General features: G+C 40.6%; 1 protein-coding gene and 1 long non-coding RNA gene across 15 annotated transcripts in view; one reads left to right on the forward strand and one right to left on the reverse strand.

Moving 5' to 3' along the window:
* LOC105369823 (uncharacterized) overlaps positions 1-17,346 on the forward strand; it is a 64,494-nt gene that overhangs the window by 35,874 nt on the left and 11,274 nt on the right. The gene's annotated exons all lie outside the window — the stretch shown is intronic.
* Positions 1-17,346, reverse strand: part of BEST3 (bestrophin 3) — a 55,796-nt gene that overhangs the window by 16,949 nt on the left and 21,501 nt on the right. For 9 of the 13 annotated variants that reach the window (NM_001282614.2, XM_047428378.1, NM_001282613.2 and 6 more), the window contains 4 exons: positions 16,724-16,801; positions 16,460-16,612; positions 12,429-12,509; positions 10,972-11,123 (listed from right to left, as the gene is read on the reverse strand). In NM_001282614.2, the coding sequence (NP_001269543.1) occupies positions 10,972-11,123; positions 12,429-12,509; positions 16,460-16,612; positions 16,724-16,801 (464 nt within the window). Of the gene's footprint in view, positions 1-9,613; positions 10,123-10,971; positions 11,124-12,428; positions 12,510-15,696; positions 15,909-16,459; positions 16,613-16,723; positions 16,802-17,346 lie in introns of those variants that run through there. The other 4 variants (XM_047428380.1, XM_047428381.1, NM_152439.4 and 1 more) reach the window with 4 other exon arrangements.

A 17,346-nucleotide genomic window follows, 5' to 3' on the forward strand; every position in this document is an offset into this window, starting at 1 on the left:
TAGGGCACTGGGTGGGTGAAGAGGAAATATAAGAACTGGAAGAAGCTGGGTTATTTGAGGGAAGGAAGAGAGGTCTGCTCCAATGGTGAAAATTGTGGAGACAGACTGCCCTGACCTTGCCTCTCAATATTGTTTTTTTTTGTGCCATTTTCCAAACATCATCAAACCCTGCAATACACACTTATTGTGCAATAGAAACCATCAATACAAAAATATAGAAAACATGAGAATGAGAACGGTTGTGTCACATATTGGTCTATTTTTGAAAGGGAGAAGAGTAAAAGAAGGAGAAAGAGAAAAGGTTATCTTAAGCCAGTCAGGCTGGTTAGTTATAGTTGAGTCCAGAAGAAGGGAGAGCATGCATTATTTCCACAGGTTAGGTAGATGTCTGGATTAAAATTATTTTAATCTCAAGTGTTAATAAAAAACCCAAATTTCAAAATACATATGGAATACCTACACAAACATCAGCCCCATGGTTTCCCTTGCAAATGACAAATATCCAAGGGCATAAGCAGCCATGATTTAATTAGAAACTTTAAAAGATGCTTGGGCTGGTCAGGGGTGCAGAAGAACATGCTTCACCCTCTGCTGCCATAACAAAGAGGCAAGAAACAGGCTGATGAAGATGTCAGCAGACTGCCATACTTGTTGGGGTGTGTCTAATATAGAAAGACAAAAATAGCCCTGATTGCTTGAAGGATTTAATGCATTTCTCCAAAGAAAGCTTTTTGCAAAGCAACCCCCTTCTCACGAGAGTGATTAGGTAAATATAGAGCTTCAAAAAGATTGAAAGATAAAACTGGATGATGCTTGTCTCTCTTTCTCTGCTCTACTTTTGAAGCGGTATTTTGACAATTTTAATTCGAATAATAAGAGGCCTTTTTAACAGAATTGAAATGAGGAATTTAGGAAAATGATATTTAGTATGATGAATTCTACTTCTCACTGCAGATTTATTGTTTTCAAATTGCTAGTGTACTCACAGTCAGGCGACTGCCTTGGAGGGAGCCGATAATTTGCCTGAGAATCTATCAGGGCAGAGACATGTGTGGAGAAGCATTTTTTTCATGGGCAAAGCAAAATGTACTCTTCAAACCCATCTGAGGCGCATGCGGCTATTTTTAACCATCTGCACTGCAGAATCATCATCAAAGCTGTAGCCAAGGATTTATAAAATGGGCAAGGCAACCCTCCCTCTGAGCTGGGAGGTGTGGGGCTAAGGGTTATGAGGAAAATCCAGTGGACCAAATATTGTATTCATCCAGCCTCCCTCAACCCTCTTTCAGGTGGACAGTTCCAAGCTCCAGAGCATCCTAGAAGGTAGCCCAGAAAGCTGCATTTAGGGCTGATGACCCCACTACTACCCGTGTTGGCCTATCTGGTCATTGAACCAAGGGCTTTGGCAAATCTGGTTGAAGAAGTGGCCTCTTGTGCCTTTAAAGAGGCTTATCTAGCTACATCCTACCACCCTGGTTATGTTCTCTTGGCTCTTGCTGGCTGACACAAAAAGAAGTTATGGCCAAAAGTGGGGGTTCACTTAAAGTTCCCTCTTTAATATTGTTATATTCTATAGGAATTTTGTTAAAAAAGGAAATCAATCCATGTACACATCTGATACCATTTAAAGATGAAAACTGATTGCCCATGGTGACCTCACATCACAGTATGAAAGAATCCTTGAGTAAGTTCTAAAATTATAAACTTAATGCACATTCATCTCCTTGGAAGTTTCCATTTCTCCTTCCTTTCTGGTACATTAAGTGAAAAATCAATGTTCCCAGAATACACTTTTGTTGAAGTTAGTAATTCAGAATTTGAGATATTTTTGGTAGTTTGTAATATAAGCATGCAATTGTATGTATCAGACTACGTATTTTCTTGTAAAGCTAAAATATTTGAATATAGTTGACTAAAAAGGATTACTAAGTATCATCAACATAGAAGTATATTTAACCACACTTTAATAAAGTCTTCACTTACTAAAATATGTATTTTGGTATATTTGAATTAATATCACTAAAAATATTTCTGACCTACTGTATAACCCTAAATATTTTGTGCACATTAAGTACATTTGCATGTTTGTATAATTACTAAAAAATCATGTTACATATTCGTAGAACTTTTCGAATAAAGATAGATAAGTAGAAATTATTATTTCTGACAAAGTTTCATAGTACCAAATACGTCTTAAATAAATTCCTCAACCCCTAGCCAGAAGGAGCTCTTTAAAATTTTGAATATTTTTCCTCTTTACTAAGTGGATCCTTAATTGGCTTCATAGACCCCCTTTTTAAGATTATTATATATGTGAGAACATTTTGACATAATTATTTGAATTATAGCAGAAGAGCCCAATAAAACAAAGCTCTTTAAATGGGATTACAGTCAGCAGTTTAAAGTTTACAGGCTTGGAGCATGCTTTTAGATTAGCAAGACAGTTAGAGCAAGCACTCTGGACACACTTGAGTGATCCATTTCATAAGCAGTTACAGCCTCTCTTCTCCAGAATTTCAAATCCTTTAGCTGTTATGAATGGATAGTTTGTTAGGGTTTTTCCAAGGCCCTTAAGGGATTATCTTCTTTACTGTTGGGTGTTTTGATTTTCAAGATAGGACTAAAGGGCATTATGAGACTTCAGGTCTTAAATTTCTGTGTTTCATTCCTCAGAGTCTTAAACATTTGTGTTAATGGGTAATCCCAAGTAATTGAAAGATAGTAAGAATTTTGAAGTGACTTATGATGATATAATGTGAAGACAGGCATTCTAACTCTACCTCAAGCCAGTTGTGACAGGATAGTTCTGGACCTTGATTTTTGTTCATTTTTTTTTAAAAATTATTTTCAGCAACACTGGCTTGAATTTAAGCATTTAAAATTTCTTTGGGTAAAGTTATTTTTATCATGCATGTGTTTATTATTGTCCCAGGAAAACTCATTATTACATTAGGGTTTGGGTATACTTCCTCGCTGTGCATCTTACATACAATGTTCTTTTGGCTACTTGTGGGTGTTTTCTCGATCTTGGTTAATAGCATCTCCATAGTTAAGCTAATGAAAAGATGCCTTAATTAAAACGCAGATCAAGGCTGGGTACGGTGGCTCCCACCAGTAATCCCAACACTTTGGGAGGCCTTGGTGGGAGGATCTCTTGAGATCAGGAGTTCAAGACCAGAGTGGGTAACATAGCCAGATCTTTGCCTCTTAAAAAAAAAGCCAGGCATGGTGTCATGCACTTGTAGTCCCAGCTACTCAGGAGGCTGAGGCAGGAAGATCGCTTGAGCCTAGGAGTTCGAGGCTGCAGTGAGCTGTGATTGCACCACTGTACACTCCATCCTGGGTGACAGAGGGAGTCCCTGTCTCAAAAATACAAAAGGCAAAAACCAAACAAAAGCAAGAACAAAACTCCAGCAGATTAGAAAGGATTCCGCAGTATTACAAAAGAACAAGCAAAACAGAGTCAACTGAAGGGATCCCACATGAGATAATGGTAAAAGAATTCACACAAGAAATACTTTTTCATTGCTTATTAACTCATAAAATGGCAAAGTGTAGATTACTGGCCATGCAATAATTATCACTATTTAGTAAATGCTCAAGACTGGCATATTTATGAAAGCATTTCTATTTTGGGGACTGCATTCAGATTTTTAACTGGCCTTTTTTCATTTGGAGTGTTGATTTTGAAGCTGATTTTTAACATGCCCCATGCAAAGATCAAGAGACGGAACTTCAGCACTGGTTTGGTGTTAAAGCTTATAAAATGCAATTTTAAAACAGTAGCTCTTTGGTCCCAGATTAGACAGAGAAAGATGAGCTCTGTTAAAGCTTCCTTTAGATTAAGACACGATGACTAGATGAAGCAAGAACATTGGTTCCTGCTTTCCTGGCTGCACAGGCACCATCTCCCCCTCTCCCCTTACTGTATCCAACTTCAACTGCTTCCCTGTAGCTCAGGCACTGGGACCTCCCCCCGCCACCCGGGGCCAGTTCTGTGACTTCTTTAGGACCTTGCTCTGTCATCCCCCCTTGCTCCTGTGTCTTTCCTCTCTTCCAGTGGGCTCCTTTTGCTCAGCCTGTCTTTTTTCCTTCCTTTTTCCAAACAAGGAGAGTTGTTAATTTGTTTCTTTATCACATCTTGCTTCATCTTACAAAGGATTTGATGTGGCCTTCTGGAAATACATACAATGCAATAATATTATATACTATATCTAACATATAAAATATTATATTTATATATTATATAAATATATATAATATAAAAAATCAAGCCAATATAGTAGAGGTAGAATAAGAAACAATGATAAAAGATACAGACTCTAGAAATACATTCCAAAAAAATCCCATTCCACAGACTTAGTAAAGGTAGGCTACAAATTTGATTGTCAGCTTCCCAGCAGCCAAAATGAAAAGGAAACCATCATTAATTATACAATTATAAAGTTTGTAAGATAAATAGCGTAAGATTTGCCCAGAAGAGGCAAAGCTTTCTTTCTTCGCCACCAACATCTGAAATGCATTTCCTCCTGTGAGTCCTCTGCTAAAAGGGATGCCAAGTCACACAGTGGACAGCACTACAGCGAACACCAGAGGGAGTCTTAATGGCTCTGTCCAAACAAGGCCAGGGTACAGCAGCAAAGTGAAATTCAGTAAAAGGGATGCCAAGTCACACAGTGGACAGCACTACAGCGAACACCAGAGGGAGTCTTAATGGCTCTGTCCAAACAAGGCCAGGGTACAGCAGCAAAGTGAAATTCAGTAAAAGGGATGCCAAGTCACACAGTGGACAGCTCTACAGCGAACACCAGAGGGAGTCTTAATGGCTCTGTCCAAACAAGGCCAGGGTACAGCAGCAAAGTGAAATTCAGTATAGGTGGTGACGATAATTCTAAGGAGGCCAAGGTGGGCGGATCACTTGAGGTCAGCAGTTCAAGACCAGCCTGGCCAACATGGTGAAACCCCGTCTCTACTAAAAATACAAAAATTAGCTGGGTGTGGTGGTGCACGCCTGTAATCCCAGCTACTTGGGAGGCTGAGGCAGGGGAATTGCTTGAACCCGGGAAGTGGAGGTTGCAGTGAGCTGAGATCATGCCACTGCACTCCAGCCTGGGTGACAGAGAGAGACCTTGTCTACAAAACAAAACAAAACACAAAAAAACAAACAAAAAAAAAGGCAAGTAAAAAATATGCCATTAGCCTTACTGAAGACAAAACAAAAAAGCCATCCCTAGAAGTCTGAATTGAGGAGGGAAACAGACCAGAGTCCCTGTCTCTTAGTGAATACAGTCTGGTCTATTTACCCCATCAATTCAGACTTCTCAAAAACATAGTCCATGGATACTTAATGAATTGAGGAATTATATGCGTTTTGGGTTTGTTTTATTTTTGTTTTTTTAAGTATGAAAATGGCATTATGATCTATTTGCTTTACCATGATCAAATGGTGGGGAAGATAAAGGCGGGTGGAGAATGAAACAAGACTGGCCGTAACTTGATAATTGAAGTGGTGATGGGTACATGGAGCTTTTTCATAGCTTGTTCTCTACCTTTGGAACTGCTTAAACTTCTTTTTTTTTCTGAGACAAGGTCTCGCTCTGTCACCCAAACTGTAGTGCAGTGGCATGAGCTTGGCTAACTGCAACCTTCCCCTCCTGGGTTCAAGTGATTCTCCTGCTTCAGCCTCCCAAATAGCTGGGACTACAGGTGTGCACCACCATGCCGGCTAATTTTTGTATTTTTGGTGGAGATGGGTTTCATCATGTTGGCCAGGTTGGTCTCTAACTTCTGGCCTCAAGTGATCTGCCTGCCTTGGCCTCCCAAAGTGCTGGGATTACAGGCGTGGGCCATCATGTCTGGCCCGGTTTGAATTTTTCTACAATAAAATTATTTTTTAAAAACAGCTTACACTGGCAATTTGACCTTCTTACTTATCAATCACTTCTAACCTACTATGGTTTAATTTCTACCCCACACTCTCACTTAAGCCTCTGATGACCCTAACATGCAAAACCTATGGCATGCTTTTCAGGCTTTATTTGGAAACTTTGTACCTTTGGCCTCTTGGCAGGGCATTTTCTGGGTTACTCTGCATCTATATTGACCATTCCTACTCTGACTACCCTTTTCCTCTGACCACCCTTTCAGTAATAGTATTCTACCCTTCGTATTCTGCTCTGTTTCCTTGATACTGTTCTGATTGCTCCCACCCACTCTTTGGTTCTACGTACTGATACCAGTAAAATGCATCTTCTGTCCCTGGACTCACTGCATGCTGGCCATCTCCATGTGAATTGCCCATAGAGGCCTCAAATTCAACACATGCAAAAGGGAGAGCTCATAATCTTTTCCTTAGAGCAGTTTCACCCTTACACTCTCTCATCTTTGGTTTATTACCGTTCTTCACTCCTTCTCCTTTCTTGAATCTGTCCCTTCTGTCACCTCTACCGTCTACATCCCTTGTGATACACCTACTTCAGGCCCTTATCCTCTCCTGTTTAAATGACAACAGCCTGCTAACTCTGGCTCTGGTCTTATCCTCAGCTATCTGTCTTTCAGCCAGCTGCCAGGCTAATCTCTCCAAAGCAAAAATGTGACCCTGTCACTTAATAGCTTTGAATAATGGCTGAAACCCTTACCTGGCCTATAAAACCCTCCATCTTCTCCCTTGCCTCCTCTCCAGATTCATTTCTTGGCTCTTCTGCTTTGCCTATCAAATTGTTACTCTGAGTATACTATTTATTATTCCTTTCTGTCTTTGCCCATATTGGCCTGAAATGAGCCCTCTGCTGAATCCCCTCAATTCTATCTGTGCACTGGCTCCTAATTCATTCTTTTTTTCTTTTTTTGAGATGGAGTTTTGCTCTTCACTCTTGTCGCCCAGGCTGGAGTATAACGGTGCGATCTCGGTTCACTGCAACCTCCTCTGCCTCCTGGATTCAAGCGATTCTCCTGCCTCAGCCTCCTGAGTAGCTGGGATTACAGGCTGTGCCACCATGCTCAGCTAATTTTGTATTTGTAGTAGAGACTGGGTTTCACCATGTTGGCCAGGCTGGTCTCGAACTGCTGACCTCAACTGATCCACCTGCCTCAGCCTCCCAAAGTGCTGGGATTACAGGCATGAGCCACCATGCCCGCCTCCTAACTCATTCTTAAGGATGCATATTAGAGTCCCTGACTCCAAGAGGCTTTCTTTGAGTCACCAGGCTGGGTGAAGTGTGTCTTCATTGCGTGTGTTCCCATAAGGCTGAGCGTTTCTCCACTGTAGCATTTACCACATTGTAATGTCACTTTTCTCCACCTTACATCTGTGAGCTTGGGAGGTGTTTTTTTCTTTTCTTTTTTTGACTACCTCTAGCATCTGGCATAGAACCTACCTCATAGTAGGCCCTGAAAAAGATTTACCAGAATAAATAAACGAGCACATTCTGTATGTGAGGGTCCAAGGGAAAATATATTTTAAATTTGTGCTTAAGATAGAAAGAAGGAAAATTAATTTATTTGAGTTATATATATTTGGTAAATATGCAGAAAATAGGGCCATGTTTTGAACATGTCCCTTAATATAGAGAATAAAGACATTGTCTCCAAGGAGTTTCCTTCTGAAGTGGAAATGAACAGTGTGCTGAATGTGAACAGCGCTGTTGAATGTGCTGGCTGGGAGGCAGGTCTTCTTGCAGGTGGCCCTTGGAGAGTAGTACTTTTGCTCTGTTCTTGAAGGATATTGCTTTGATTTTAGAATATCCGGGTTATGGGAATTGTGGCTACAAACCCAAAACATTGATATGAAAAGGTAAGGAAAATTTGATTTCTGAATTAAATATGCTGGGAACATACACCTTAAAGAGAATAAGAAAATTTAAAAAAATCTCATCCAGGAAAGGATTTTATATGGTCACCAAGAGGCAGGCACTTTTATAAAATGTAATGCTTGTGTCTACAGCATCTTGACACGTGATCTTCACTCTCATGCAAAGAGCTCATTGGCTCAGTCAGCACCAACAAGACCACCAGTGCTACAGTTCTTAACTTTTACCTTCCCCTTGCCCTTAGCCTCAGTCAGGTGGCTCATTTGACATTGACCTTGTATTTGGTGAGGGAACCATTCATTGCTTAGGGAATTATCTTCTATGATTTTAGAGAACATCTATTGTTTTTGCTAGCCCAGCGAAACCATTCACCCTTCTGATAATAGCACCCTGCTTTTTCTTGAGATATCACATACTCCATATGGTTGGACGGGGCTGACTATAACCCTTGGTTCAAAGATGGACCTATAAACCAGCCATGAATAGTCAAAATATTGTCTCCCTGTTGATAGTAATTAGCTCAGAAATGGATATGTGAGCCCGAGCCCAGTCAGTCATAGCAAATCCATCACTTCAGTTTCAAGAGTTGGAAAAGAGATGTGCTCTTTCCATAGGTTAGCTGAGAAGGTAAGCTGTAAGCCTGGAGCTTGCCATTTTGCCATTTTTGCCCTCAGGATGGGAGAGCCTGCCTGAAACCTGAGCCAGTGGAGAGAAAAGCAGACCTGAGAGGGATGGGGCAACAGTGAGTCCTGGTGACATTCTCTGAGCCTCTGGATCTAGTGACACCCAAAGCTAGGCTCGTCTCTGGATGTGAAACTATAAACCTCCTTTAGCTTAAGAAAGTTTGAATTTGGTTTTCTGTCATAGGCAACCAGAAACACTTTTTCTAATACCACAATCATAGGAAAAATAGGCATTAAGAAATCCAAAGGGGGCCATTTCTATCAACTCAGGGCTTCTGATCGCCTATTTTCCTGCAGTAAATTTTCCTGGATTGTGGTCCACTTTAATGGTCCTCATTTATACAGAAAATCAAGATCAAGTGAGCTTTTGCCTAATTGTTTCTTTGAACAATTGGTTCTAGCAGATCGAGTTAAACCTCTCACAAAACCCTCTCCCAATAGGTTCTGGCCTTTGTCTGTTCCTCTCTCCATCCTGCTGGTAAATAGGCCATTTTAGTTGGAGGACTTCTCTCTGACAACTGATAATTTTTTGCTGCAGTTTTAAATATTGTACCTCCTGGTTTTCTCTCAGTTGTTTTATTTTCTGTACCAAATTTCCAGGGTAAGTTTAATATGAAGAATAGCTTAAAGTGATTTAATCTTTCTCTGCTTCAGTTTGACATCCACAAATAAAGCTTGACTAGGTGATAATAATCATCATGCTCTATGATTTTATATAGAGCATCTTAATGTTTACAATCTCATCTAATCTTCCCAATGATCTTTTGGGGAAGGAATTTTCTCTGAGATCTTGTCAATCCCTATTTCTGTTTCTGTATTTAGAAACAAGAGAAATGTGTTTTAATATTTGCTAAAGAACATGAACATTTATGTAGTAATCTGCAGAATTATGATGATTAGGATAAATAAGTAGGTCAGGATAAAAATTTTGAGACCTTCAAAAAATTATCTTAACCATGGGGTAACAACAACTCAATGGACATAAGAAATAGAGTGTTTGGAGCATTTGCAGTCTAAATAGAGTTATCACAATGATGCTCTGATTCTATCAGTATTGCTGGTCTCTTTTCTTTTCAAGTTAAATCGTCAAGTACTTTGCATTAATCAATGGTGAGAGTGAGGAAAAGGATAAAGCATATTTAATTATCTAAAATCAAACTCACAGAAGAACAGCTCTTATTAATTCTGAAAATTGAGATGATTGCTGGATGTCCATGAAGCTCTGCCCCTGCAGAAGGTATCATGAAGGCTGAGACATGCATACAACAAGAGATTCCTATCCATGGAAACTGAGAATACACTGAGGGCAGGGATGAGCTCTCTGGCCTGGAAGGAGCCCTGGGTGGGTGGGTCTGGTCTTAGAAGGCTAGCTAGAAGCAGAAGCAAATCTAGCCTGGAGTAGGCAACCTTCTCTAAGATGTGCTTTGCGGGCAACAAGGCAAATCTCCTGGCTCCTAAATCGTTCTCATTATTTGCTGGAACTACTGAAATTCCACTTTCAGTCTTCCTTTTCTTTGGGTCTGGAAAGGTTTTCAGCCTCAGAGGCCCCTTTGGAAGAGAAGTGCCACAAACCATCACTGATGGGGATTAGGAGACATTCGGCAAAGGGAACAGGGTTGAAGCGAGATCTCCTGAAAGTAGAAGGAGGAGGGCAGGCCACTTCAGGGAGGAGGGAAAGAAGGGTCATAGGCAGCAACCACAGGACACAAACCCACTGCACAAATCCGCTTACAGCAGGCCTCAGGGAACTATGAGCCACAGTCTTGCCAAGAATTATAAGAAAAATTCCACAAAAGTTTCCCCTTTTGCTACAGTTTTTTTGTTTTGTTTTGTTTTGTTTTGTTTTTGAGTGGAGAGTTTCTTACTTTCTGAATTAGTCTGTGCTTTTCTCTTTAATTTACTTGGAAACTGTGGCATCTGCCTTCAGCAAATATACTTAAACTTCTCCCACATTCACACACTTCTCCAATATCAAATACATGCTCAGACTTAATGAAATTATTATAGAACTGTACCTGATTTACTTCAGGCCTCAACTCATTTATTTAAAGCTCATTATACTTAGGGGTGATTGCTGTGTTAAAACCACTGAACAGAGACTGACTTACATACTAAGCCTAGGTAGAAAAAAATGCCAAAAAAGGTAAAAAGATTAGAACAGTGATCTATCTGTTCATTTCCTAGATATTGGAGATATTTATTTTAATTTTCGTGAATTAATTAATTATTTTTCTTGAGACAGGGCTTCACTTTGTCACCCAGGCTGGAGTGCAATGGCACAATCACAGCTCACTGCAGCCTTGAACCCCTGGGCTCAAGCAATCCTCCAACTGCAGCCTCCCCAAGTAGCTAGGACTACAGGTGACATCACAGTTGGCTACTTTAAATTATTTTATTTCTTTTTTTTTTTTTATAGAGACAAGGTCTCACTATGTTGCTCAGGCTGGAAAATATTAGAGATTTTTTAAAAATGCACTTACCCCATCTGGACTGTTGACCCCAGAAATGAGGGTATGCAGTAGTCAGCAGCTGCCAATGTGTATGGTGGGCGAGCAGCAGAATCGTCCCAGTAAATGTCCTTCTTCATCTTGGGTAAGCTCATGTGCATTTCGTCCACAGCTAAAAGAGAGACCTAAAATCATTGTTATATTGTTAGAATAACTCAGATGTAAATTAAATAAAAAGGAGAAGTTTTTTTGGGCAGATGAGAGTTAGATTGGGCTAGGACACAGTCTAAATGAGTGAATATACAAATGTCTGTAGTTCATACTTGCCATGACCACAGCTGCCACAGAGAGTTGTATCTGTTGTTTACTACTCGAGAGCACTTGGCGATGAGGATAAGTGGGGCTTGAAGCCTCCCACACTCCGGGATCAAACCACACACTCTAGAGTGGAGTTGCCTCTTAGCTGGAGGGAGGGGAGCCATCTTTTTATTCTTTGCTCACAATTGTGGTGTTGTTTTACCTGATAGCACCTACTTAACCCCAAATATTACAGGAAGGTGAAGATTCCGCTTTTCATTCTGTTAACCCTGTAAACACATTTTTACTTGACATCACTTCTTATATGCCCTGGTTTCTTGTTCATTTCTTTGTTTGGAAAAACATAACAAGAAGTCTATACTGCTCAGTGCTATGGTGCTCTCTCCTCTTGGCTTTGACAAAGTGATGCATGAATACATTATTAATCCTCTGGGATTCCAATTTTGACAAAGTGAGTGACCTAGGCATTATGCGTCCTCCCTAAGAGACTGACATTGGGATCTACTGTGAGATGTTTGAACTTACTTAACTGCCGAGTAAGGGCTTGAAACAAATGAAAAATGTGAAGGCCTTCACAGGGAAGAGAATGGTCTAGGGAGAGTCTTGCCTAAAAGGAAAATTCCTTAGTGCTGTTTCTTCATGAAAAGCTCTCTGGAATAGTGCTTCAGGGTAAGTGCCCTGGGGCCCATTTAGTGCATTTCATGCAGATTTGAGACACAAGCTGGCATGGCCCAGGCTCCCAGTGTCCAGCTGGTGGCTATCTGACTGCTGGGATTGACGTGATACCACTTTGGGAACTCCCACCAGCTTGTGTCTGGATGCCATTTTAAGTCACTATTAACCTCTCTGGTTGGCAACAGAAAACAGACTAAAGAACAATTTAAAATACTGCTCTATGCTGAGATGAAAGAGGCTGGAAAAAGCTAATAGAGGGCTTACAAAGAAAATTGGCTTGAAATTCTACTTAAAAGGAACTAAATTTCACTGGAGCTGAAATCTCGGATGTGTAAGCTTCTGAAAGGACCTGAGACAGCACAGTGCACAGCCAAGCCTCTTTCATTTGTGGCTAAAGCTCTGAAGCCAAGGGGTGTGCATTTGAAATCTGCTTAGATTTGAAATATCGCAAGTGATTTATTATTAACATTTGAAAAAGAAAGAAAAATTCCTCTAACCTGCAAATTTCTGTCAATGCACCAGTTAGTTTCAAAATCATCATCATCTTCTCCAAAAGGGTTGATAAGCTGCTCTGCTACCTGTAGTTGAGAACATAAAATAAATCCATCATGATACCTGTGAAAACTCAGAATAGAGACTGAAGATGATTCCTGTTTTCCTCTCTGCTTCCTTGTGTGACTTTCTAATACGAAGAGTAGAGGGGAGTAGATTGTTCTACCGAGATATTTATTAGCGAGCAAGACATGATTCTCAAACCATGAATGATGCACCTTCGTAGGTATGCTCTCCAAATGGATCTGTCCATTCAACTGGTGACAATGCAGGCCCTATCAGGGGAAGCCATGTCCTATTTAGGAGCCAAATCAAATGACTGAATAGTGAAGGAGAACCAGCTATTTGCAAGGCACTCTGAAGGGTACACAGGCTATGCTTTCAGGGAATTACAGGGCCCAGATGATAAGACAAAATGTACACAGGGAGAAGGTTAAACAGTAAAGAAAGACTTAAATCACACTTAAAGAAAATAATATAAGAGGCTTTCACAATTTATTTTTATTTTTATTTTTTTAGACAGTGTCTCGCCCTGTTGCCCAGGCTGGAGTGCAGTGGCATAATCTCGGCTCACTGCAAACTCTGCCTCCCAGGTTCAAGCAATTCTCCTGCCTCAGTCTCCTGAGTAGCTGGGACTACAGGCGAGCACTATCACATCCAGCTAATTTTTTTGGATTTTTTTTCAGTAGAGATGGGGTTTCACCATGTTGGCCAGGCTAGTCTTGAACCCCTGAGCTCAGGTGTTCTGCCCTTCTCGACCTCCCAAAGTGTTGGGATTACAGGTGTGAGCCACTGTGCTTGGCCGAGCTTTCACAGTTATTGAACATAACTGCTAAGTAAATGAGTTAGAGAGCTAGTAAGTCCTAAAGTTGGAAATTGAGGCTTACCTAGTTTTTACCCTAAAGGATTTACTCTTATCCAGTAAGTTAGTTTTCCTGCCGGGAAAATGTTAGGTAGCTATTGTCACAAATCTTTTAATATTTGATCAATATTAAATATTCTTATCATGTTCCTGAATTGAATAGCCTTCTTGATGAGAGGTTTATGTATAAAATACAACTCATCTATCATTTTCCTTGTTGAAAAATTTCCCTTGGTTTTTATTATCTGGACATGCGTGCATGCTCGTGTGTGTGCGTGAGAGAGAGAGACAGGGAGAGAGTTGGGGGAGAGGGAGATTTTACATTGAGTCTAGATGGAAAAAAATTTTAAATGTGTAAAATAAAGGCACCATGTGATTAGTTTCTAGAGTCTAAACATTCTAGATTCTGAAACTATTCAGTAGAAAATCTACCTACTTATCTTTTAGGATTTAAGTCAACGTATTAATACTTAGAGCAGTGTTTTTCAACCTTGGCTGCACATTAAAATCACCCGAGGAGCTCTTAAAAAAACCCGATTGATGCCTGGGTCCCTCCCCGAGAGATTCTGATTTAAGCAGTGTGAGGTTGAGGCCAGGCATCAGTGTCAGGTAAAGCTCCCAGAGGATTTTCATATGTGGCTCTTATTTTAAGTGCCTTTCCTTGGGCAGGTCTGTGCCCTGAATCAGTAAGCCTCACAGTGATATCTATGTTGAAGTTCTTGTCACTAGTTCCATGGGGCTATCTGCCCTTTCTTGCCTGGAGATTTACTTAGATTAATTAAGGGTACTGGTTGAGTCCTGAAACCTATTTTTATTCCATCCAGATTTTCATTTTTATGCAATCAGTCCTGCATGTATTATCGTAGTCTACATTAAATTGACAAAATGGCATGTATGATTCTGAATTGACCAATCTCAAAATATATCTTTTATTCCACTGGGGGCTGCATTTTCAGCAAGTAACTGAGTGATATACTATTCATAAGGTTAAGATAGCTTTTCTGCACTTAGAAAACATTTATAAATATCCTAATTGTTGAGATAGAACAGCTGTTTAGAAATGGAGGCACAACCCATGGTTTAGGTTTGCCTTTTTTTTTTTTTTTTTTTTTGGAGACAGAGTTTCGCTCTTGTTGCCCAGGCTGGAGTGCAATGGCTTGATCTCGGCTCACCGCAACCTCCGCCTCCCAGGTTCAAGTGATTCTCCTGCCTCAGCCTCCCAAAGTGCTGGGATTACAGGCGTGTGCCACCACACCCAGCAGGTTTGCCTATCCTTTAATGGAGCTAAGATTGTGCCTTTTAATATTTTGTCTTTTAAGATTTATTTTTTTTATTTTAGACAGGGTCTTGCTCTGTTACCCAGGCTGGAGTGCAGTGGTGTGAACATGGCTCACTGCACCCTCGGCCTCCTGGGCTCAAGTGACCCTTCCACCTCAGCCTCCCACGTATGTGGGACTGCAGGCATGCGCCACCATGCCTGCTAATATTTTGTATTTTTTTTGTAGAGATGGGGTTTCGCCATATTGCCTAGGCTGGTCTTAAACTCCTGAGCAGTCCTCCTACCTCAGCCTCCCAAAGTGCTGGGGTTACAGGCATGAGCCACCGCACCTGATTTTAAAACAGTTTATAAAGGAAAAGGATGTAAATATTTTAGAAAGCATGTCAGAGGGAAGGAACCATTATCTGCTCTTTATGGGCTGGTCAAGCACCTTACATGGAGACAAAACAAAGAATAAAAACTTGGTGCAAGTCAGGGGAAAGAAAGAAAAGTACTTTTTGAGAATGATTATTTGGGCCACTGTGGTGATTTTATATTTATAAAGCTAAAGTCTACTTTTTCCTCTAATGGAAAATGAAAGTCATTAGTCTCTTCTGCTTTCTTGCTCTTACGCAGGTAGAAATAATTAAGAATCACAGTAATCTGATTAAAAATTCTTTTGCCATTTGTAAGGGACTTGGCTTTACTCTTTGGAGTATAATTTGAAATATCAACATATTATTTTTTTTTGGTGAAGAGTCAAACCAATGAAAGGAAAGGCTTCTGCAGGGAAAATTTCACTGCAACCTGAAGGCCCCAGTGGGTCACGACAAGGTATGGCTCTTTGGAAGGCCAAACATTTGAAAATTCTACTTTACGAATATCATCTGCATATCATCATTGCCTTTGAATGAACTTAATGAAGCCATTGTCATTGATTTTTTTTCTATCACATACTTCCCATTTGGAAGTTTACAGAGGTGATGGAAGAATCAGGTCTCTGATATTTACACACATACATTTGAGGAGGTGGTGGTGAAGGGAGGGGAAGCAAGGAAAATTCTACACAGATAGTTAGGCAAACCATTCTCACCTCCTGAACCTGTTTAATTCCCTGGCAAACCAGATGTTGTCATTGTTTCTGGTGTTTCTGGTTCTGATTCTGATGAATTCTGAGTCTCAGTTCTGGTTTTGAAAATGGGGTACATTTAGACCAGGCGCGGTGGCTCACGCCTGTAATCCTCGGGAGGCTGAGGTAGGAGAATTGCTTCAACCTGGGAGGCGGAGGTTGCAGTGAGCTGAGATTGCGTTACTGTACTCCATCCTGGACGACAGAACAAGACTCTGTCTCAGGGAAAGTAAAAAAAAAAAAAAGAAAATGGGGTACACTTAATGTTGTGGGACACCTAGCAGAATTTCAGGGAATTGCAATAACTATAGAGTTGAGCAGAACCAAGATTCTACTACAATATTAATGGTTAAGTCTGATTTACAAGGCTTCTTGTTGACTCTTTTACTCTGCCTAGTTGCTTGTTGTGGTATACAATATCAATGCAAGTACACTTACTACTTTAGTTACATTATTATAATCCTAATGGGAACACACAGAGACTTAAAAGAGAATCAATAGCCATAAGAGTGTTCTTCTAATGTCTTTGCACAAATGAGCTGTTTCTATCCCTGTCACTTGAATCTCTGAATCTCTGGCAGAAAAGTAATAACATTGCTGAGCCATTACATGTTAAATCTACCTTTGACTCACTCATGAATGATTTGCTAAAGACTCAGTAAAGGATTAGTGTGGAGAGTCTGGAACATAACACATTACAAAGTGGGGCCCTGAGACCACTGGCTACCTTAAGCCATCCTGCATAGAAGAAGAATTGTAGGAGGGTGAAGATGGGAATGTAAAGATCCAAGTCATGCCCTGCGTAGCCTTTGGTGGGATCCAAAAACTGGCGTCCAATCAGGCACGCAAAGAAGAAGGTATAGACAGCAAGAGTGACAACCTGGAACAGAGAGAGACCAGAGTGAGGGGACAGTGCTGGCCTCCCGCAGCGAAGCTACAGTGCCAAGGTAGGCAAGTAGAAATAAAGAATTCCATGAAAAGTATTTCTTACCTGGGTGTAAACCAGCGGAATCCCAACCCAGTCATAACCGAATAAGAGGCTGCACCAAGAGCGGTATCGATTCATTTCCTAAGCCAGAAACAGATCAAGCATGATTTACTAAGATGACGGGTGTGGTAATAAGTACTTACTGGGACTCAGAATGTGAGCATGTCTTTTACAGGACTGACTGTAAGGCTAGTAAACTGATTCCCAAGGATACTCCAAAAGGAAAGTTCTAAAAATGACAATCAATCAATGAACATCATTGGAGCAATGAGTTTGTTGACAAGTACATTTGGACATTTTAAAAAATATTAAAATAAGTCATGGCCAGGTGTGGTGGCTCATGCCTATAATCCCAGCACTTAGGGAGGCCGAGGCAGGAGGATCTCTTGAGCCCAGTAGTTTGAGATAAGCCTGGGCAACATAGAAAGACATTGTTTCTACAAAAAATACATAAATTAGCTGGGCTTGGTGGCACACGCCTGTAGTCCCAGTTACTCCAGAGGCTGAGGTGGGAGAATCACTTGAGTACAAAAGGTCAAGCCTGCAGTGAGCCATGATTGTGCCACTATGCTGCATGTAGCCTGGACAACAGAGTGAGACTCTATTTCCAAAAAAAAAGGACTTCA

This window comes from Homo sapiens, chromosome 12 (assembly GCF_000001405.40).
Source record: "Homo sapiens chromosome 12, GRCh38.p14 Primary Assembly".
NCBI lineage: Eukaryota > Metazoa > Chordata > Mammalia > Primates > Hominidae > Homo > Homo sapiens.